This window comes from Homo sapiens, chromosome 2 (genome assembly GCF_000001405.40).
Source record: "Homo sapiens chromosome 2, GRCh38.p14 Primary Assembly".
Lineage (NCBI taxonomy): Eukaryota > Metazoa > Chordata > Mammalia > Primates > Hominidae > Homo > Homo sapiens.
In genome coordinates, this window is record NC_000002.12 from 126,297,152 (window position 1) to 126,320,090 (window position 22,939).

The 22,939-nt window shown below is 38.5% G+C and overlaps 1 pseudogene, besides 1 other annotated feature; it reads right to left on the minus strand.

Annotated features, from left to right (window-relative positions):
* Positions 11,137-11,637: an enhancer, noted in NCBI's record as "H3K4me1 hESC enhancer chr2:127065865-127066365 (GRCh37/hg19 assembly coordinates)". NCBI's record gives its function as "activates a minimal SCP1, AML or CMV promoter by ChIP-STARR-seq in primed H9 embryonic stem cells {active_cell/tissue: H9 hESC(primed)}" and the evidence as "EXISTENCE:reporter gene assay evidence [ECO:0000049][PMID:30033119]".
* SLC6A14P3 (SLC6A14 pseudogene 3) lies at positions 14,257-14,802 on the minus strand (annotated as a pseudogene).

Genomic DNA, 22,939 nt, shown 5'->3' on the forward strand with positions numbered 1-22,939 from the left:
AGGCTGGAATGTTCAAGATCAAGCCACCAGCATCTCGTATAGGCCTTCTACCTGTGTCCTCACCTGGGAGAAGAATGGAAGAGACAGAAAGAGGAAGCACCCATTCCCACCCTTTTTAATAGCATAATTAATCCATTCACGAGGGAGAAGCCTCATAACCTAAGCACCTCTCATTAGGCCCCACCTTCCAATACTGTTGAAATTAGGCATTAAGTTTCCAATGCAAGAATTTTGGAGAGAACAAAAATATTTAAACTATAGCAGGCAGGAAATATGCAAGATGAGCCTTCAGCATCTTAACGTGCCAGAAAGTAAAGAAACAGCAAACACAGAAAACATGTCAAAGGGACAGAAAAGCTAACTGAAAGAGTACTCAGCCAATCTGAAATAATTTGAGCAACAAAATATTGTTGAATTATAACCTGAAGTATAAAATAAATATCTATGAGTTCATGCTGACATAAATAAATGTGGGATAAAAAATAAACAGGAAAGAAGAGAAAATTTTCAAGTGAAGAAAAATTTCAGATAACTTCTGTAATACTTTATCTTCAAGGAGGAGGAGCTTAACTCCCCACTCCTTAACTGTGGACTAAACACAATGACTTCTTTCTAAAAGTACAATTTTGAAAATGAAGAAAAGGGTAACTTTACATTGAAGAAACATAGCTGACACTACCTCGACCAAGTAATCAAGGTCAAAATCAACACTGATAAGTCATATAGATAGCATGAACTCTTGATATGATGTCATGAAAATAGCACTTTACCTTTCTGGTCTCCATCCTAAAATGCTGTAAGCCCAATCTAATCAGACAAATCTTAGTTGGGCAAGATTCTATAAACTATCTAATCTTATTATAATTCCTCAAAACTGTCAAGGTCATCAAATACAAGGAAAGTCTGAGAAACTGTCACAGCCTATGGAGCCTAAAAAGCCAAAGCCAAAACTACTAAATGCGATGTGGTGGTATCTTTTAGAGGATCCTAGAACAGAAACGAGACATTAGGTAAAATATAAGGAATTCTGAATACAGCATGGACTCCAGCTAATAATAATTGGCTACATTCCTTATAAATGTGCCAATATAGGTTCGTTAGCTATAATAAATACACCATATTAATGTAAGATGTTAATAAAAGGGGAAACCAGTTGCAAGGTGTATGAAAACTATCTGTACTACCTTGGCAATTTTTGTACTATCTTCATAAGAAATATTTTAAAATAAAATATTTATTAGAAAGAGAGAGAAGAGAGGAAGGGAGAAAGGGAAAAAGGAAAGAAAGCAGTGGAAGGAAGGGAAGACGGAAAGAAAAAAGAAAAAAGATGGAAGAAAGGAAAGAAGAAAGGGAGGGATGGAAGGAGGGAGGGGGAAGAGCAATCTTACCATGGCAAAGACTTACATCTTAGACTGTGAAAATGTAGTCTAAAGGGATTTTAATGTTTTTAGCAGACACAAATTGGAGGAATAAGGTTTATTCCACAAACCACTCACTAGAAGCTTACTAGTGAGTGGTTTGTGGAATAAACCTTATTCCTCCAATTATTTATGGAATGTTCCCTTTTCCAGTCTCTCGGAACCTCTTTGTCTTTACATGAATGAAAGATCAATGGCAGTTGTCTAATTTAGACATTCTCTTGAGACCCTGGTGTGTACTTGAGATTGGTCAAAAGGTTTGAACTCATGCAAAGCAAATATGTTTATTCTTACAATCTTTTTACCCATCATGAGTGTATTTACTTTGCTTTCAGTAATGTTCATTCCACACTTTATAGTCCAAAGCTTATTCTTCTTGACAGGGAAGAAAAAAAGCAAAATAGGAGTCAAGCAGTTTCATTGCACCAGTATAGTTCAATAATGTTTAGTTAATGTTTTGTTTGTGTGTTTCTCTAAATGTACCTAAAAGGTACATGTATATGCATGTACATGTATGCCCATGTATGGAAACATTCTTTTTCGGAACCATTAAATTACCTTGGCGTCTTAATCTGTTTGTGCTGCTATTAATATAAAGGAATATCTGAGACTTGGTAATTTATAAATAAAAAAGGTTTGTTTTACTTATCACTGTGCTGGCTGGAAGATCAAGAATCTGATGAAAGACTTAGGCTACTTCCACTCAAGGCAAAGGGGAGCCCATGTGTGCAGAGATCACGTAGTGACAGAGGAAGTGAGAGGAGAGGTGCCATGCTTTTTCTTAAACAACCAGCTCTCCCAGGAACTAATATAGTGAGAATTCGCTTGCCCCTCTTCATAGGGAGGGCATTAATCTGTTCATGAGGGCTCTACCTTCATGATCCAAGCACCCCAATCATGCTTCACCTCCAACATTGGGGATCAAATGTCAACATGAGGTTTGGATGGTACAAATATTCAAACCATAGCACTTGGACATAAATCATTAGGCATTTCTTAAATGTACATGTTACCCATCTATATTTAGCATTGCACATCAAATATCTGGGTATGACCTTTTAAGAATTTGATCTTAGAGAAAGAAAATTCACTACTTCATCATCACTATCACCATCATCGTCATCATTTCTCATTACATTACTATGAGGTAATTTCCAGAATGAAGTCATATTACAAATCACCTAGTGAGTTATTTCTAAAGTCAGATCACAGAGTCAAAATGAGGTACATTTCACCAACAATGCAGAGTATATATGGTTTTCTGTTCACTATTTCTTGAAGCATCTGACAAACCAGATTTCCGCTTCAACATTACAAAGAATTGATGCTATTGTGAATAAAGCCATTGGCTTATGGGAATAAACCAAATTTATATTTAAACACAAATTCCTTAGTAACCCTTGTACTATATGAAGTATTTAAATAAAATAAAATACCATGACATTCTTTATCCCAATTTTCAGACAATAAAACTGAGACTTTGAGAGGTTATGGAACCTCAACCAATTAAATAAGGTTATATAACCATGTGTGTGTGCATCTGTGTGTGTATATATGTCATTATATATTACACATATATAAGAATGCCTATATTATATATATATGTGTATGTAAAAAAACACTTCTATACACACATATATGGCTAAATAAGGTTATTTATACGCTAAGAAAGTTCAAAAAGTTCATGAAAAATGCCTACTATGGGAAAATTGTACATGGTTTTGTTTTTGAAATAAACAAAAATAAATTTGCCAACTTTTAATAACATCTCTGAGCAGAATCTAATTTGAGGTATTAAGAAGGATAAGATATCAGATTGAAAAGAGCCCCTATCAGAGCAATAAAAATCCTGCTAAAATTGAAGCAAGGGCAGATATCAAATTTATGATACAGCTTGAGTGGAAGAATGATGAAATCACTGATGCTTTATGAAAAGTTTGTGGGAACAATGACACATTTTACAAATGAGTAATTCATTTTAAGAAGGGACAAAAGAATGCTGAAGATGAAACCCACAGCAACACATCATCCACATCGATATGCAAGAAAAAATTAATTTTGTTCATGCCTGTATTAGGATTCTCTAGAGGGACAGAATAGGATAGATGTATATATAAAGGGGAGTTTATTAAGGAGTATGACTCACACAATCACATGGTGAGGTCACAATAGACTGTCTGCAAGCTGAGGAGCAAGGAAGCTAGTCTGAGCCCCAAAACCTCAAAAGTAGGGAAGGTGACAGTGCACCCTTCAGTCTGTGGTCAAAGGTCCAAGAGTCCCAAAGCTGAAGAACTGGGAGTCCAATGTTTGAGGGCAGGAAGCATCCAGCATGGGAGAAAGATGTAGGCTGGAAGACTAAGCCAGTCTAGTCTTTCCACATTCTTCTGCCTGCTTTTATTCTGGCTGCACTGGCAGCTGATTAGATGGTGCCCACCCAGATTAAGGGTCTGCCTGCCTATCCCAGTTCACTGACTCAAATGTTAATCTCCTTCCGCAGCAACCTCACAGACACACCTAGGAACAATACTTTGCATCCTTCAATCCAATCAAGTTGACACTTAATACTAACCATCAAAACGCCCTAACTGAGGAAGGCTGACAATAAACAGCATAAACAGACAACACTATACATATATTAATTGGTTTGGTATTACACAATTCTGATTAAAAAATTATCATTGAACAAACTTTTCGCTTGATGGGTACCAAAACTATTGCACCAGATCAGGTGCAGACCAGAGCAGAGCTTTCAATGAAAATTTTAGACAAGTAAGATCAAGATCCTGAAGCATTTCTTCAAAAAATTTTAATAGGAGATAAAACTTGGCCTTGCCAGTGTGATCTTAAGACAAAGCACAATCAAAGCAATGGCTACCAAGTGGTGGAAGTGGATTTGTCAAGAGCAAAGACATTGGCAACAGTTCTTTAAGATGCTCAAGGCATTTTGCTTGTTGACTTTCTGGAGGGCCAAAGAATGATAACATCTGCTTATTATGCATGTTGTAAAAAAGTTAACCAAAGCTTTAGCAGGAAAACTCCTAAGAAAGCTTCACCAGTGAGTCCTTCACCACGAAAACGCACCTGCTCATTCCTCTCATTAAGCAAGGGCAAATTTGTGAGAGTTTTAATAGAAAATCATGAGGCATCCATCATACTGTCCTGATGTGGCTGCTTCTGACTTATTTTTGTTTCCTAATCTGAAAAAGCTATAAGGACACCCATTTTGTTTTTCAGTTATTTTAATGTAAAAGTGACTGCACTGACATGGTTAAATTCCTAGGACTCTCAGTTCTTAGGGATGAACTAAATGGCTGATATCATGGCTTATAAAAGTATCTTGAACTTGATAGATCTTATGTTGAGAAATAAAGTTTGTAATTTTTATATTTTATTTTTCACAAACTTTTTGAAATCCCTTTATATAAATATGTATAAACTTATACACACACACACACGCTGTAAGTTGTCAAAGTTCCAGTTTCTGTATTTGTGTGTGCATGTATGTGTGTAAATATAAATTCAGGCTATCTGACTCTGCTCTGCCACTCTGAAGTGTCAAACAATAAAATTTAAAAAATGATAGTGAGTAGGTGAGTGAGGAACAGGCTATCACGGAGCCAGAAATGGTCTGAGTGCAGGGTGGGGACACAGAAAACATCTGGATTCTGGTCTCCTGAAGAGGCTGGCCCTGCCCTAAGGAATTCTGAGTGGTCGCTCAGCTGACTAACGCCCAGGGATCTGTGCTTTTTGAATATGCCATGATTCTTCTGAAGGACTTCTCTGTTTATAAACCCCCTGAGAGGAGACAGATCCCTGCTTCCCCACCTTTGAAGTCATCATTCCTGTTCCACTCACCACTAGGATCTGTGGGGATCTTTAGTTTCTTTGCCTGTAGAATGAGAGATGAAGGAAATTCCTTAGAGGAATATTTAAAGGAATAGTGCCATGTGTGTAAGCTGCCTTGTGTGGCATCTGGCTCCTACAAAGTATTAAAGGAGGGAAAAAGAGGATCTTTAAAGAATCTGAAAGAAAGGGGATGCTGGAAATTGGGGTGAGCAGGAGGGCTTCTCAGAGGGGCAAAATTGGAGGTAAGGCCTAAGAAAGGTGGCCCATGTTTGAGAGCTTCAGGGGGCATAATTGAAGGGAAGACAGTGGCTCAGGCTGTACGAGCAGAAAAAACTGGGGGTCTTAAAAACCAAGAGATGACTCAGACTTCCTGCTGAGAAGTGTGTCTTGCTAGCATCTCTCCATCACTCCCACATGGTGACAGCTGAGAAAGGAAGGCAGGAAAGAATGTTGACCTGCTCAGCATCCCCTGGAGAAGAGAGAAGCGACATGTGCTATGAAGCCATGTTTCAGGGGGTAGGGCCCAGGGGACAATAATTTGGGGAAGCCGTTTTAAGAAAGTCACACATCTCTAAATGTGAAGAAACAGAAAGCAAAGATGAAGAGATCAGTTAGAAAGGAGATGAATTAGAGATGGAGGATGTTGAGAGAAAAATAAAACTGCAAGGGGCAAAGAATGGAGACGGGGGGATCCAGAGGCAACTTCACAACCGGAAAGCAAAAACCATGGGCACTTCGTATTAAGGGACCATGGTCCCTTAAAATATTTCTGAATCTGACAATCGGTACCAACAGCCTCAGTATCTGAGTCTAGATACAACAGAACTCAGGCCAAAAGCCTCTCCCAGCTGCTTGTATTTATAATCAAATATGCCGGGAGCCTCCAGGGATAGCCACGGTAACCTGCAAGCTGAGAGGCTCAAGCCATGTGACAGTTCAGGAGTCTCCTCAGGGAACAGCAGGGCTTTTATTAGCTCAAAATCAGCCTGGAAAAATGTCCTTAAGCTATAGTTATGGAGGTGTCAACATCTTTGCAAGTCACTATAACAGAGTTTTAAGACACAAAGTTTTAAGTCCAGCACCCCTATTTGAAAACCTGTTACATATTAGCTATATGAGCTAACCTTTACTGCCTTCCTGAGCCCCAATTTTCTTATTTTTAAAATGGAGATAATAACACCTACATCTCAGGGTTGTTAAAAGGATTAAAGAAGATGAGTGTAACAAGGGCAGAATGTCATCCAACTACTGAATGCTCAATGAATGATAACCTGTTAGTAGTTTTAGCATAACAGTTACTTATAATATCATTAGAATTAAAACTAGCATTGCTTTTTTGTTGTCCACATTTGTCTTTGTCTTCTATGTATTTAGGAAGCATTTCTTAAAATAGTCATCTATTTTTTCTCTGGAACAAGGGTACGAAACACCAGAATTCAAGGTTGCCATATAGCCGACTTCATTCTATTATACTAGGGGTCTCCAGGTCTTTCTCTCTCCCTTCTCTCCCTCTCTCCTTTCAATGGTGAGAAAACTGGGAGTAAGGCAGACAAGTCAGGGCATTAAAGCAAGAAAAGCCAGATTTAGACCAGAAAACAAAACACCTTCCAAACAAATTATTCACCTACATCAAATAACTCTTCTTATCATTCTCATACAGAAAACTTTAAGAATTTATTCCTTTGCTCTTGTCCCCAGATCTGAATTTTCCATCAGAGTCCCACTGCCATTTTATTATAAAGTTCTGACACCAAGATATGGGATCATTTATGAGGCCATTTTATGGATAAAAAAATGGCTAAGAAAATTAATGGCTCATTTTGATTTAGTCTTCTCTCCTGCCCAGTAATGACTTTGGATGCAATCCTATTGACCTTCTCTGCTTTTGTTCCCATCAAAATCGATACAGTATGCAAGGTCATAAATTTGCTTTGGCTGGCTTTCAGTTCATTCCAGGACCCAACGCTCCCCCTGCAAACTGGGTGATAATGAAGTTATGGGTGAGGAGGCCTCCTTTAATCAGCAATCATTACATTGGGGCCTGGCTTTAAAGTAAATGACAAATTGGCAGCCTCAGAGCCAGTGGGGTTTGGGGAATTATTGATCAAGAAGCAGCTTTGGAAACTTAAAACTTTACCTGGAGCTTCATAGACAATGAGTAGCAGCTGCTAGGTAACAGGTTCAAACCATTTTCTTAATAAGGTTTATTTCCAGCAGCATCCGAGTGAATACCATTAATTTGGTTCCTCATGGAAGTGGGTCCTATCCAGCTCCAAAAGTATATGATACATAAAAAGGACCATACAGAGTATCCATATACATTTTGCAGATAATAAGACTGAACATGTACTTACCCTCCACCAACTTAAGAAATAGAATACTCTTGTATCTCAAAGAATCCACAACCCTCACTCTTGGATGTAACCACAAATCTGATTTTTGTGATAATATCGTCTTTTCATTATATTTTATCACTTGTAGATATGTTCATGAATAATATATTGCTTTATATTGGGTTTTTAAATTTAAATAAAAATGTAATTTGAGTTCATAAGTGAGATCAACATTAGTTGTCTTCTGTGACTTTCTACTTTTATTTGGAATATTTTTTGAGACTCACTAACATTATGCAAGTGACTGGTTCATTCACAATAACTGTTTTATAATAGTCTGTTATTTGAATAAACCACAATTCATGTTTTCTTTCCACTGCTGATAGACCTTTTCAGGTTTTGTGTTAGTTCATTTTATTATTATTTAAAAGCTACCGTAAGCCTCTTCCTGCACATCTCTTAGACTGCACAGGCAAGAGTGTGAATGAATACATCCAAGAGCAGTTTCTGATTCTTAGGATACACTGAGCTTTACTGCATAATGCTGGTTTATACCAAGTTGGTTTATACCCATTTTCACTCTTATGAACAAGAGATTCCACTGCTCTCTGATATCCAAAATGCTTAGTATTTTATGGCTTTAAAAAAAACTTGGATAAATTTCGTGGATGTAAAATTATATCTAATTGTGGCTTTAGTTGGTTTTAATTAGAATCTCAGAAAACTGAAGAGATTGAGCGTCTTTTCATTCATTTATGGGCCATTTGTATTTTTTCATCTACACAATATCTGTTTATATGTTTCACCCATGTTTACACTAGGTTGTCTATTTCTCATTGATTTCTAGAAATTTTTAAATATATTTTGGATGCCAAAACTTTGTCAGTAATATATATTGCAAATACTCTTTGTAGCTTGTCTTTTCATTTTTCATTTATGGTACCTTTTTAACAGGGAATTTTTTTTTTTTTTTTTTTTTGAGACGGAGTCTCACTCTGTCACTCAGGCTGGAATGCAGTGGTGCGATATCTGCTCACTGCAAGCTCCGCCTCCTGGGTTCAAGCAATTCTCCTGCCTCAGCCTCCTGAGTAGCTGAGATTACAGGCATGTGCCACCACACCCGGCTAATTTTTGTGTTTTTAGTAGAGACAATGGTTTCACCATGTTGGTCAGGCTGGTCTCAAACTCCTGACCTTGTGATCTGCCCGCCTCGGCCTCCCAAAGTGCTAGGATTACAGGCGTGAGCCAATGTGCTGGCTTTTTTTTTTTTTTTTTTTTTTTCAGTTATTCAAGGGTAATGTGATTTCAAGTTTAGTAACCCGGCCAAGACTTGAATATCAATCCTCAAGTTTTGTTTGCCTTGTTAGTGGTGGTAAAAAACACATAACATTAAATTTATCATTTTAACCATTAAGGATGCAATTCATGAGTATTATTACCTATACTCACATTATTGTGCAACTGATCTCTAAAAATGTTTCCTCTTGCAACATTGAATCTCTATATGGCCTAAGCCCTAATCCCTTCTACCCTCCCCAACTCAGCCCTTGGTAACCACCTGTTTTCTGTTTCTATGATTTTTGACTACTTAAGATACTTCATATGTGTAGAATCATACAGTGTCTGTCCTTTTGTGACTGGCTTGTTTTGCATAGCCTAACGTCCTCAAGTCTTATGCATGTTCCAGCATGCAACAGGATTTCCTTCCTTTTAAGGTTGCAGGAAACTCTTTTGTATGTATATGCCACATTTTCTTTACCCATTCATCTCTCAATGAGCATTTAGGTTGCTTCCATTTCTTGTCTGTTGTGACTGATGTTTTGATGAACACAGGTGTGCAAATATCTCTTCCAGATCGTGCTTTAAATTATTTTATACATAAAATAATTTTTATATAATGCCACAAGTACCATAATTATATGGTAATTTTATTTTTAATCTTTTGAGGAACCTCAGTACTGTTTTCCATGACGGTGACGTCATGTATATTCTCACCAACAGTGTACAAGGTATTTTCTCATAGTTCTGTAGAACAGAAGTCAAATTTCAAGCTGTCAGCAGAACCATGCTTCCTCTATAACTTTGAGGAGAATCCTTCCTTGCCTATTCTTAGCATGTGGTAGCGGCTGTAGAAACTTTACATTTCTCTCTTGGCCTGCACCTTCATTATTCCAAGACTGCAGCTACACTGGTCATCACATGATGTTTTCCCTCTGCTTATGTCTCTGTGTCTCATCTCCTCTTCCCATAAGGACACCAGAAATATTGGAAGAAAGCCCACCCTAAAGACTGCATCTTAACTGGATTATATCTGCAAAGACCCTGTTGCCAAACAAGGTCACATTCATACATAACAGGGAATAGGACTTCAATATGTCATTCTGAAGAACACAGTTCAACCCATACCAGCAGCATTGTTTAAAATTACATTTTTTGTGGTATTCAGAAATGCAAGTGACTTCTGCATATCGATTTCAAATGCAGGAAGCTTGCTCAATTCCCTTTAAATTCTAATGATCAATAGATGCTAAATAAAACATGTTATCACCTACAAATAATTATTTTTTCCCTCTTTTTCAAGTTTTAAAACTTTCCTGTTCCTTGACTTACTGTATTGTTTAAGAATTGTATTTTAAAAAGAAAAATAATAAGCGTCTTTAACTTGTCCTTGATCATTAGGAAAATGGTTCCAACCATTAAGTACACTACTTGCTATAAGTTTTTCTTTGTTTAGATATTAATCTGAGGAATTATTATTTATCTAATTAATTAGTATTATTTATCTAATTAATTAGTATTTTATCTAATTATTAAGAAGGGTTTTTTAAATTCCTAGTTCATTAAAAGAACCATTTTTGGAAAATCATAAGTAGGTATTATATTTTATGAAGCACGTTTTAAAATATGTTGAAATAAACATAGTTTTCTCCTTTAATCAGTTAATACAGTAAATTATAATCATTTTTTAATAATAATGAAACAGGAAAAGCTCCCTTATCCCCCTCGCAGGACGTGAGATGGGGGTGTGGCTCACTTCTGCAGTGCTATCCTGCTCAAATCTCTAGGGGAGCTTACAGACCGGCAGGCTGTGGGGCTCCGACCCCACAGCAGTGTCTAGGGGTGAATGTTTACAGCCGAAGCCCCAGTGGGTGTGTGTTACAGTGTGCTCTTTTAGTTTAGCCTTAGTCAGCTTAAGTAGACCCCTGCCTTATGGCAAGGACAGAGGGCTTTCTGTATCCTGGGGTTCTTACCTTGGTGTACTGGAAGAATCGGATCACACGTGGTCTTGGAGAATGAGTTCAAAGTTTTATTGACTGGAAGTAGCTCTCAGCATACGGGGGAGCCAGAAGGGAGATGGTTTTTTCCTTGGAGTCAGGCTGCTCCCTGGCCCGGGCTCTCCTCTGACTGTCCCAGCCAAACTCAGCCTCTCCTTCTGCTGGTCCGTGGCCTGCCCGCATCCCAGGGCCTGCTGATGTGCTTCTCTTAACATCCAGCCACCTGTGTGTTCCTCCACCAATTCGCTCCTCTCCACGTCCAGATGTCTGGGTTTGCAGATAGGCTCCTCTGCAGGTCCAGCAGCTTGTGTGCCTGCCTGCTAAGGTCTGAGGGCAGTTTATAGGCACAGGATGGGGGTGTGGCAGGCCGGGGTGATATTGGGCAATGCAATATTTGGACAGGAAATGCCTATCCTCACCCAGGTCCGTGGGGGTGGAGCCCTAGCCAGGGACCACGCCCTCTTCTACCCAGCACTTCCCTTCCACACTTCGGTATCATTTGAGGGGACCACGCTCTTCACTCCCCTGCACTCCGTATCAATAATTCCTGCTTCTGGCCAGGCGCGGTGGCTCACGCCTGTAATCCCAGCACTTTGGGAGGCTGAGGTGGGCGGATCACAAGGTCAGGAGATCAAGACCTTAGTGGCTAACACGGTGAAACCGCGTCTCTACTAAAAATACAAAAAATTAGCCGGGCGTGGTGGCGGGCGCGTGTAGTCCCGGCTACTCAGGAGGCTGAGGCAGGAGAATGGCGGGAACCCGGGAGGCGGAGCTTGCAGTGAGCCGAGATCGCGCCACTGCACTCCGGCCTGGGCGACAGAGCCAGACTCTGTCTCAAAAAATAATAACAACAATAATAATAATAATTCCTGCTTCTCTGATTAAATGCAGCTTGGCCTAGCTGTCTCCTGATATTCTGTGGGGTTTTTTGTTTTGGGTTTTCTTGGTTGCTATGCTAGTTATTGCCCTCTAAGCAGAGCTTCTCATTTTCCACAAGTTTTGGTTATAGCATTTTTATTTTCAGGTAGTGCAAGACAGTTTCTAATTTACCTTTGATTCATGAGCTTTTTAGAAGTTTACTTTTTAATTTTTAAATATATATGTGTGTATTTTTATTTCCATTTTATTTTAATTATGTATTTTTAACTTAATTACATTGTAGTCAGAAAATGTGGTTCTTATAATGCAAATCTTCAAAATGTATTGAGAGTTAAAGCACGTGGAAAATTTTGAAAAATAATATGTTTATAAAAATACATTTTCAAGTTATTGTGTAAAACATTTTATATATGTTTGATAAAGGTTATTTTCCTACTCAAAACCTTAAACTTCCTTCTTTTTTTATTTTTTCTTTTTCTTTCCTTTTTTTTTTCTTTTAGTCACCCTGAGGAATAACTTACTGAAGGATATTTGTTTAAAACTCATTATGTAAAATTTTCAATTATTTTTGTAGCCTAACGTATAATTAATATTGTATATATCCCAAGCCTTGCTTTTAGATATATCAAGGTCTGAATTGTTATATCTTCCTTTTACATTGAATGTATATAATTATAGACTCATTTACTTTAACTATATATTTTTAAAATATCTATCTTATCTAGCTACACGGCTTTTCTTCTGATTGATATTTTCCTGGTATGCTTTCTTATCCTTTAACTCTTTACATAATTGTAATTGTTTTGTCTTGAGAACAATAGATACCTTTTCTTGCTTTTATTTTTGCACATCCTGAAATGTAGTTGTATTTTAACTGAAAATTTGGTTTATCCTTTTTTTATTATTATTAGTATATTTGTATCTATCTCTAACATTAAGTGCTTCCTGTCAACCTGGTTTTAAAGTTTTCTTTACCTTTGATTTTCATTTTTGGATTGTTACAGCCTTCTTTATCTTTATTCTCATTATATTTTATTTCCTCTGCTTTTTTGGAAGTTACATGTTCTTTATTTATTCTTATAGTGGATAGCCTAATTTTTTAAAAGATATATAATATAGTATAAATTAATCAAAATCTTTATTTTCTTTTCAATAGAACCTTAAAATATTTTAATTTTCATTACTTCTTTTATTTCAAATTACATTATTTTCCATTTTTTTATTTTTTAATGTTTATTCTGTCACCACCCCTACCACATACATACACATTAGGAATTACCGTTTTTAATACATCAATGAATGCTTAGATTATATTCTATATAAAAATATATTTAACTATATATAATACATTAATGCCTAATATAATATATTAATGTCTATACCCATAATGTCTTTCAAATTCTATTTTAAATCTTTTGAGATTCTATTTCTGCCAAATATATGTCTTTTTAATTTTTCTTATAAAAATCTGTTGATGGTAAAGTTTTTTCTTCCCCAAAAGTATTGTTTTCATTTTTATTCTAAAAAACCATGCAGAACCTGGAATTCTGGGATAGAACTTATTTAATTCCAGCACATTTGAGATAATATTTCCTTCTTCTCTGGCATTAATAGTCGTTTCTAAGAAATCAGATCACTCTAAATAATGTTATCTTCTGGTCGACGATGTGGCTATGAGTAGAAAGCTATGATACTATGATGTGGCTAGGAGTAGATTTTTTAAATTTTCTTTTTTCTGTTTGGAATTTATTGGGCTACCTGAAGTTGAGTTTAGTGGAATAAATAAAATGAGATATAGGGCACAGTAGAACTTTACAAAATGAAAGAGATTCATTATACACAGAGCAACATAAATGAAAATTGAAAAAAAAAGGTAAGATAAAAAAACCCTAAAATATATAATGTAATAGCATTTAAATGCTTTAAGAATTTACCACCCAAAACAATATAAAATCATGAATAGTTATGAGTAAAGATGTACAAAACCAACACTTAAGAATAGTCACTTCTGATGTTGGTAGAAAGGGGAATAGGAGTATGGAATAAAGATAAAGGGCAGACACAGCAAATAAAGCAAACAAAAAATAAACAAATTAATAGAGGGGCGTTGTATTGACCAATATGATAACATACACTTAGCTGAGAAGTATTACTTACTTAAACCTTTATATCTGAGGTCCAAAGTATATATTTGTATAGGTATATATATATATCCCTTTGTACATTTCTTAACCAAAATCTTTAATTTCAATGTACTTGAGTTTATTACTTTATGATTTACACTTTGTGTTTTTCAAGTTCTCTAAAAAGTCCTTCCGAAATTTTCATTCAAAATGATATTCTCCTGTATTTTCTTCTATTAAACATACACACATGCGTGCGCACACACACATACACACACACACACACCCCACTATACAAATGCAAACTTGTATATATTTTTTATAATTAAGTCTCTAATCCACCTGGTGTACAACTTTGTATGAGGTATTAAGTGAGATCTTATTCTGGTTTTCCTCTGCCACCAACAGTAGGAATTTCCTGGTCAAGTCTCTTTTATTTAAGGATCTACTGTGCCTTTTTATTTCTCCCCATGATGTCCTTCCAGGTATGGGCTCTAGTTGAAAACTGTTTTACAGCAGCTTACAACACACAGAAAGATGTTTCCTTCAGCCTGAATTATTTCTATGATAGCCATAATTGAAATGCAATAATACAGAAAATAATCATACACCAGCCTTGAGCAACTTCTCAGTCAGGGCACAAGATTTTGGCATAATCAAGTCTATGATATTTCACTAGTGTCCAGATAAAAATTGCAATAAAAATAATAGGCATAATGTCATATAGACATAATGACAAACCAGCAAGTTTTCCACTGCAGCAGGAATATCCACCTCTGTTCCATTATCATTTTTATATCTTCAAGGAATCTGTTCCCTCCATAAACCCAGATGATTCCTATTAGTTCCAGTATAGTTGCAATCAAAATGTCCCGTTCAGTACAGAAGTGGCCAGTCAGATGAGCCACTAAATTCCAGCCTGAACCACACGGGTGACTTCTCTCTCTTTCTCCCTGTTTCTCTCTCTCTTTTGCTCCTTCCTCTCCTCCTCCCTCCTCTAGTAGGTGGACTCCAGACATACTATCCCTTTGTCTATCAAGACTACTGTGCCTGTCTTCACATATCTAACACTCATACATGGTCTCAGCTTTAAGATTTACTTCGTCTGGTCTGTGGCAATTCTAAGTGCTCATTAAGCTCCTTGTGCTTGCCCCATGAGAGCATTCATCAGTAATATGTAACTATTCCAGGGTACATGGGGACCATTGCTTTACATTTGCCTGGCAGCATTTCTCTTTCCACTTCTAATATTAGACCCCTCCTTTCTGATCCTAGGCATGGCCCATGTCCCTGGGAACAGTAGAGACTGAGGCCTGGGTCTCAGTGGCATCAATTAGAGCCTTTCCCTGGGACTGATGTACGAGTGTCTCTTTCTGTTGGCATCTTTAAATGAGAAGATAAAAATCCAGGTTATCATTAGCCACATTCACTGGTCAAGAAAAAGGCCTCTGCAGAACACAGCTGAGCAGAACCACACAGAAGTGGAAGAAGCAAAGAGGTTTCCAGAAGACTGTGAGTACTTGATTCCAATCTCTGAGCTTCTATTTCAGGCAGTTCTTCCTTTGATCCTTCCCAAGTTCTATAAATAGAAATTTCCACTTTTGCTTGTGTTAATGAATTGCTCTTTATCATGCGTAATAGAGTTCTGACGAATATACCTGATTATTCATCTGTGTGTCTTTCAGCGTTGCTCGACAGGATAGCAGCATCAGCCTTGCCTGAGAATTTACTAGACATCCAATTCCCAGGCCCATCCACAGACCCACTCAGCTCAGGGTAGACACACATACACACACACCCCTCTATACAAATGCAAACTCAGGGTAGGACCTGAGATTCTGCATTTGAACTTGTCTTTCAGGAGTTCTTATGCATGCTAATGTTTGCGAAGAACTCAACTAGTTTATAAAATAAGAGAGATCCAACCACAACAATCAGCCTGTCCAACTAGTTTGCCAATTCCATAGAGACGTTCCATCTCTTATTCAGTCTTATATTCACCACCTAGAAAGTGCCTAGCACACAAATTGGTATTGGAGCATATTGAACAAGAAACACAAAGGCAGAGAAAGCAAGGTAGGATGGCAAAACTCCTGCATTCAGCATAGAATCAGGTTAAGCAAGGTGTTTGGGGACATGGATCTGGGGATGAAAGGCCTAGAGCTGAGACTTTGGGATTGGAGACTGGGAAATGACACAGAATAAGAACAGGAACTCTGGGCAAGTTCACAGGCTTTGAGACTCACGAGTATGGAATCCAGCCCGTCATCTTTCTCCTTGGAAGTGTGTTATTAACACATTTTTCCTCATTAAAAGGTAGACAAACAAGAGAAACCTCTTTCTATAGCCACAATTTCTCCATTGGCTCTCAACGCCTGCCCTGGGACCATCTTCACTGCTACCCTGGTTGGACTCATCCCTGCACCCACCACATACACACGGTAGCAAAAGCACCGCATATCAAATTCCCTTTGCCAGATAAATGGGGTCTCTAGTCTGTACACGGACCTAAAAGTTTGGGCCAGAGGTTGGCGCATGAGGAATGGTGGGTGTCTTTTTTCTGGGAGCCACGGTGCCTGGTGTAGCAGGACCTGTCCTGGAGTCCCATCCAAACAAGGAGGGAGGCAGGTTACTAGCACGCATCACAGAACCCAAGGTAGAGCAGAAAGGGACTTCTTGATATAAAACATGCTAGCATATTATCAAGTCTAGTTATTTGTTTACTTTATATTATCCCTCTGTGGAATGTTAGCATAACAAAGGCAGAGATATTATTTATATTATTCATTCTATATCCTTAAAAGAGTGTATGAACAGAGAAAATGCCCAAGAATATTGAATAAATAAAGGAATAAAACAGACATGGCAGAGAGGAAGACACTTTAGGCAGAAAATGAGAGGCAATTAAGCCACATTTGAACAAATAAAGGCTTTTTGTTTGTTTTTTAAGATGGAGCCTCACTCTGTTGCACAGGCTTGAGTGTAGTGTTGCAATCTCGGCTCACTGCAACCTCCGTCTCCCGGGTTCAAGCGATTCTCTTGCCTCAGCCTCCCCAAGTAGCTGGAATTACAGACGTGTGCCACCACACCCAGCAAATTTTTTTTTTTTTACTTTTAGTAGAGACGGTGTTTCACCATGTTGGCCAGGCTGGTCTCGAACTCCTGACCTCAAATGATCTGCCTGCCTCAGCTTCCCAAAGTGCCAGGATTACAAGCATGAGCCACCATGCCCAGTCAATAATGGCTTTTTTAAGGAAGGCTCGGACGAGCCATGGGGAGGGATGGGCTAAAGAGCCAAACCAGCAAGCATGCACATGTTCAGCGTAAACTGTCCGTGAGCCCAGTATACTGGGCAAGCTGAGAAATAATTATGTCCTCCTTCCTTGATCTTGCCCACCAATTTCTACCTCTCATCCTACTGTGGTATCCACTCCCAGTACCTGTGGACTCCTATCGCATCATCACATCTATTGCCTGGCTTCACAGATCCTTCAGTCCAGGCCATGTAGACCCTCACACTCAGGTTTGCCTTCCTTTGGCACAGTCTCACACCCCTAACTCTTCTACTTATCACCACTATAAAAAATATATGACCTCTCACAATGCTCTATCCTCAGAGCTCAGAGAGGTGCTTCGTAGACAAGGACACTGCGGAAGCCAAAGGGCACAGTACAGTTTAAGATGCATTCCCAGCTCATAAAAAATTAGCAACTAATTGATAATTTATCTAAGGTCATTTGCTTCCAGGGTTATTTTGAAAAATTATACTTAAGAGAACAGTAATTTAACCCAAAATGAATGCCTCAGCAGTGGAATCTTAAACCAGTCACAGGCTGTTGAGACATTTTTGGAGTAGAGCTGGGTGATGGGGTGAGGCAGGTGGTGCCCTGCAAATCACATCTGAAAAATGTCAGTTCTTGGCCACACCCCCAGAAGTGTGATTTCCCTTTTGCTGCAGTCATGGTTAGAACTTTAGCATCAACATAGTCCCAGGAAAACATGGACATACGGTCTTCGGGTGTTTTCTCCTCTAGGCGAAACACTGATCCACATAATGTTTATGTGAATATTAGCACTTACCTTTTCATTCGGGATAATTCAGGGATATGTAGAAAAAGAGACACAAAATAGACACCACTCTAAGCATTATTCTGGAGCTGAAGCATGACATTCTGCTTTTCTCTCTCTTATATTTTTTTTTTTTCTGAGACTGGGTCTGGCTCTGTCGCCCAGGCTGGAATGCAGTCTCCGCTCACTGCAAGCTCCGCCTCCCGGGTTCACGCTATTCTCCTGCTTCAGCCTCCTGAGTAGCTGGGATTACACGCACCTGCCACCACGCCCGGCTAATTTTTTATATTTTTAGTAGAGATGGGGTTTCACCATGTTAGCCAGATGGTCTCAATCTCCTGACCTCGTGATCCACCCGCCTCAGCCTCCCAAAGTGCTGGGATTACAGGCGTAAGCCACCATGCCCGGCCGACATTCAGGTTTTCAATAGCTCCCCATCTTAATAATTTCTATGAGGCACATGCCATCACTTCCAGAACTTGGTTTCATCATGCACCATTGTTGACGTTTCTATCTGGTTAAATGTGCAACACTGTGTTTCCTCTCTCTGGAAGTTACCTTTCTTCCATGTCTTCCTCCAGACTTAGATTTTTCCATCTCTGATAGTTGCTTGATGGAATGAGTGTAAATTTCATAGGTAAAGAAATAGACATGAGGTTATATTCCGAGCTCCTAGGACAGTTCCTGGAAGGAAGAAGGTACTCAATATTTACTGGTTGAATAAATATGATGCATGTCTCTTTTGAATATAATTTTTCTTCACTTCTCATGCCCAGTCTTTCAATATATTTTCAGCTGAGCCTATTTTCTCACAATTCTTGTAAGAGTAAATCACTGGTACCAAAAGGAGGATAAACATCACAGTTCCCATTGCTCACTACTCACCCTTTCATCCTTCTCCTGACACTCCCTCCTTAGGGGAAAAGAGTCACTGCTGTAAAAGTGAGCTATTCTCTGTGCATTTTTTAAAACCTCGTCATTTCCCCCAGCAAAATGTCAAGAGCTATTTGGCTGGGAACCCATAACTTGGTAGGTAATAAAATAAGCATAGATTTGAAAATCATGTCTTAGGACTAAAGGACTCCAAGGAATTTTAAATAAATGATTTATCTAAATGAGTGATTGTATTAATTGCTATATCTAGAATTTAGCTTATCTGTTAATACACCCTGGTGAATTCAGTAATATGGCTCTTCCCCAAGGTGCCTGTGGCCATCAGGATGTCATTCAGACAGGACGAAATATCCACCCCCAAGGCTAAATGAGAAACATTATCTCAGCAAAGCTGCATTCTAGCCTGGAAACATATGGGCAGAGAAGAAATTAACAATGGGAGCTGGAGGGGCAATAAGCATATGACATTATCACTAAGAAAATCCATTTAGATATTTAAGTTACACACTCTAGTGTCAGGCTGTTTAAATGGACCTATTGATCTTTCAGTTTCAGTAAAATTGCTCTCATTTTGATTATACTGTTTAACCTTGAAGAATTGTAGGAAACATCTTAGTTCCAGAACTTTCCTTTCTCCCTACATATTACATTTTAATCGTTTCTTACTTTCCAGCTCTCTCTCTTATTCTCTTTCCTCCTTCCTTCCTTCCCCACAACCCTAAAGCTTATGATATTATTTAAGGCGTCCTGAGTATCTACTACATTATATGAATACAAAAATAAAGATTACACAATATTCACCACAATCTAGTGCTGTAATTTTAGCCAATTCTTCAATTTTCTCACTAAAAAATATTTTATGATACATATGATATGATTATTATGAAGAGTAAATGAGCTAATATGTATAAAAGTTATAAGAAGAATTAGAGCAAATAATACGCTGTATGTAAATGTTAGTTGTTATTTAAGTGCAGTGACAGAAAGAAGGGATATGAGGCACATACCACTTGTAGGATGGAGAAGTGACATGCTAGAAGACCATTTCTAAGTGACATTATTTGAAATGGGAACTTAAGAATTTGTGTACCAGCGTACTCATTTATTAAATATACTGAGTTATTTTAATAGGCCAAGGCCTGTGCTAAGCACATGTGATGAGATAACGTGTGTGTGTGTATGTATGTGTGTGTGTGTTTGTATGTGTGTGTGTTGTTGTTGTTGTCATATTCCTTGGTTCTAGGAGGGGCTCAGCTGTGTAGATCTCACCTGGGACTTTTCATATGTTTACAATCACTGGAGCCACAGTCTTCAGGCTTATCCACTCATCCGTGTGGTACCTGAGCCAAAACAGCTGAGGTGTCAGGGGCTGCTCAGGCATCTCTCTCTCCATGAAACCTCTCTGCATAGCTAGTTTGAGCTTCCTCATATCCTGGAGATCCTTGGGTGGGTGTACTACTTATACAATGAATGTCTTCTTCCAGAGCAAGCATTTCCAGGAAAACAGACAGAAGTTGCCAATTCTCTTAAAGGTTAGGCCCAGAACTTGTAGGGATCCCTTCCACTGAAGTCATTGTTTGAAGCAATTGCTAGTCAAACCAGCTTCAGGGGATGTGCTTTTGTAATCACCCCGTGGGTTCTTCCTGCCCCCTGCACAAAGTCCATTCACTGAGACCATGGCATTGCAGTAGAGAAAGTTTAATTGATGAGAGTCTGGCCCATGCAAGAGAAATGGAGTTAACACTCAAATCATTCTCTCAGGCTTGGAGCTTAGAGTTTTTGTAGACGATGTGGTGGGCAGGGAGCTATGAAATGGGTGCTACTGATTGGTTGAGGATGAAATCATAGGGGTGTAGAAAACTAGCCTGGTGTATTGACTCCACCTCTGGGTGGGAGCACAGGACAAGCTGAGTCATGAGTCATGAGTCTGGGTGAAGTTAGTCTGAAATAATCTAAAAAAAAAAAAAAATCTTAGTTTTCACAATAGTGATGTTATCTATAGGGCCAATTAGGAAAGTCACAAGTCTTGTGACCTCCAGCCACATGACTCCTTAGCAGTAAGGGATTACAGAAACTGACTACATTTCAACAGAGTTCAGGCCCCTCTCATAATCCTAATCTTGTGGCCTTTAGTCTTACAAAGGTGGTTTTCAGTCCCTGAGCAAGGTGGGGGTTAGTTTTAGGGAAGGACTATTATCATCCTTGCTTTCAAGTTAAACTGTAAACTAAATTTCTCTCGTGGTTAGCTTGGTCTTTACCCAGGAATGACCAAGAACAGCTTCGAGGTCAGAAGCAAGATGAAGTCAACTATGCCAGATTTCCCTTACTATTATAATTTTGAAAAAGCAGTTTTACTTTCAGGGAAGTACAGAATTGATGGTGGCCATTTTACAGGTAAGTCTTCAAAGTAATGGCTTACTATCCTCATTCTACAGAAAAAGAGGTTGAAGTTAAAGAGAAACCCGTCCAAAATCAAGCCATAAAGTAGCAGAATTGAGATACAAGCCTAAGTTTGACCCCAAAACTTTATGCATAACCACTGTGATATTCCTTTCCTGGGATATGATGAAGGAATGAGAAAAGTCCTGGGTTGAGATCTGATCCCAGCACCACTCCTATTTTGCTGTGTGATGTTGGGTAAGTCTCATCCCACCTCTGGGCCTTACTCTTCTCTTCCGTATTGTGAGGAGGTTAGACTCAGTGATGCTGCAGGCAGTCTCAGCTCTAAAATTCTGCAGGTCTGACAATCTTTGCTTTGCCCCTTTGGCTATGGATTGAAAGACTGTCTCCTTCATTTATGGAGAAGCCTCACCATGTCAACTTCACGCCCATGTGGGTTATGAGCCTCTCTGATTCCCCTTCAAGGAGGACTTGCTGCTGAGACTTTCAGGGATGCTGCCAGACACTTCAGGGTCTGCCTCAGCTGCAGAGAGCTGCTTAGACCAAGGTTCTGCACTTCTAGGGTGGCCCACATTCAAGGGCCAGTCAAGGCATGAGTGTAAAGACCTGGCCATTTCAACTTAACAGAGGAATAGCTATTTTAACTTTAGAACTCTCCTGGTAGGTAACTGGGGTTGTCATTAGGCCTCACATCTCAGCTTTGGTCTCTAACAAATCCTGCTTCCTCCTTCTCCCCAAGGGCACTCCCTAATAAATATCCTTTAAGGAAACTTCATCTCTGAGCCTGCGTCCCAAAAAAACACAACTAAGATCAACTCAGCTGATCACTAAGATCCACCTCCTAACATAGGTTCCAACAAGCTGGATTTTCTAAGAATAATTGATGGGAAGATGGGAAAATACATATTTTCCAGTGTCCCCAATTTTATGTGTGAAAAAAACTCAGTCTTAGAGATGAGAAAGGGCTTTCTCCTATAATAGAGGAAGAAATGACAGAGCCAGCGTTCAAATTGTGTTCACCTAACGGCAAGACCCGTGCTCATCCCAGTATTCACAGAGAAAATCTGAAATTTTCCAAGGTAGTTTTGATGTAATATAATTGGGTTTCTGCAGGAACTAAGTAAAATGTCATGTTTACACATTTTTAAGCATTTAGATTTAAATGCTTCTTCAAATCAGAGAAAGTTCTTTCATACTCCAGGTGTCTGAAAGTTTTCCACAGAAAATGTAATAAACATAATTCACATGTGGGACCCACTGTTTATATTTTCCAACCAATTCTATATTTATTTGCACTGTTTTTCCCTATTTATGATTTCTTATATATATAAGAAATCAATACATATGTTAATCAACTATTATCTGATATTCCTTACTGGAGGAAAATGGTTTAGGTCAGTGCTTCTCAAACATGACAACACTGTTTAATCTCCTAGGAAGCTTTTCAAAAACACAAATTCCAGAACTCTCTTCTCCCAAGCCAAGTAAATCAGAATCGCTGGGGAAGACACATAGGCATTTTATGTTTTGAAATCTCCCCAGAAAATTCTGAAGTTAGGATTAGAAATAATGGGTTTTGTTGTTGCTGCCTAATACACATTATATTAGCTTCTTTTAAAGCTGCATAATAGCTTATATTAAGACTATAACATTGATCTGTCCACATTCACTCCTTTAAAAATTTTTTTTTGCCTGAAACAAAC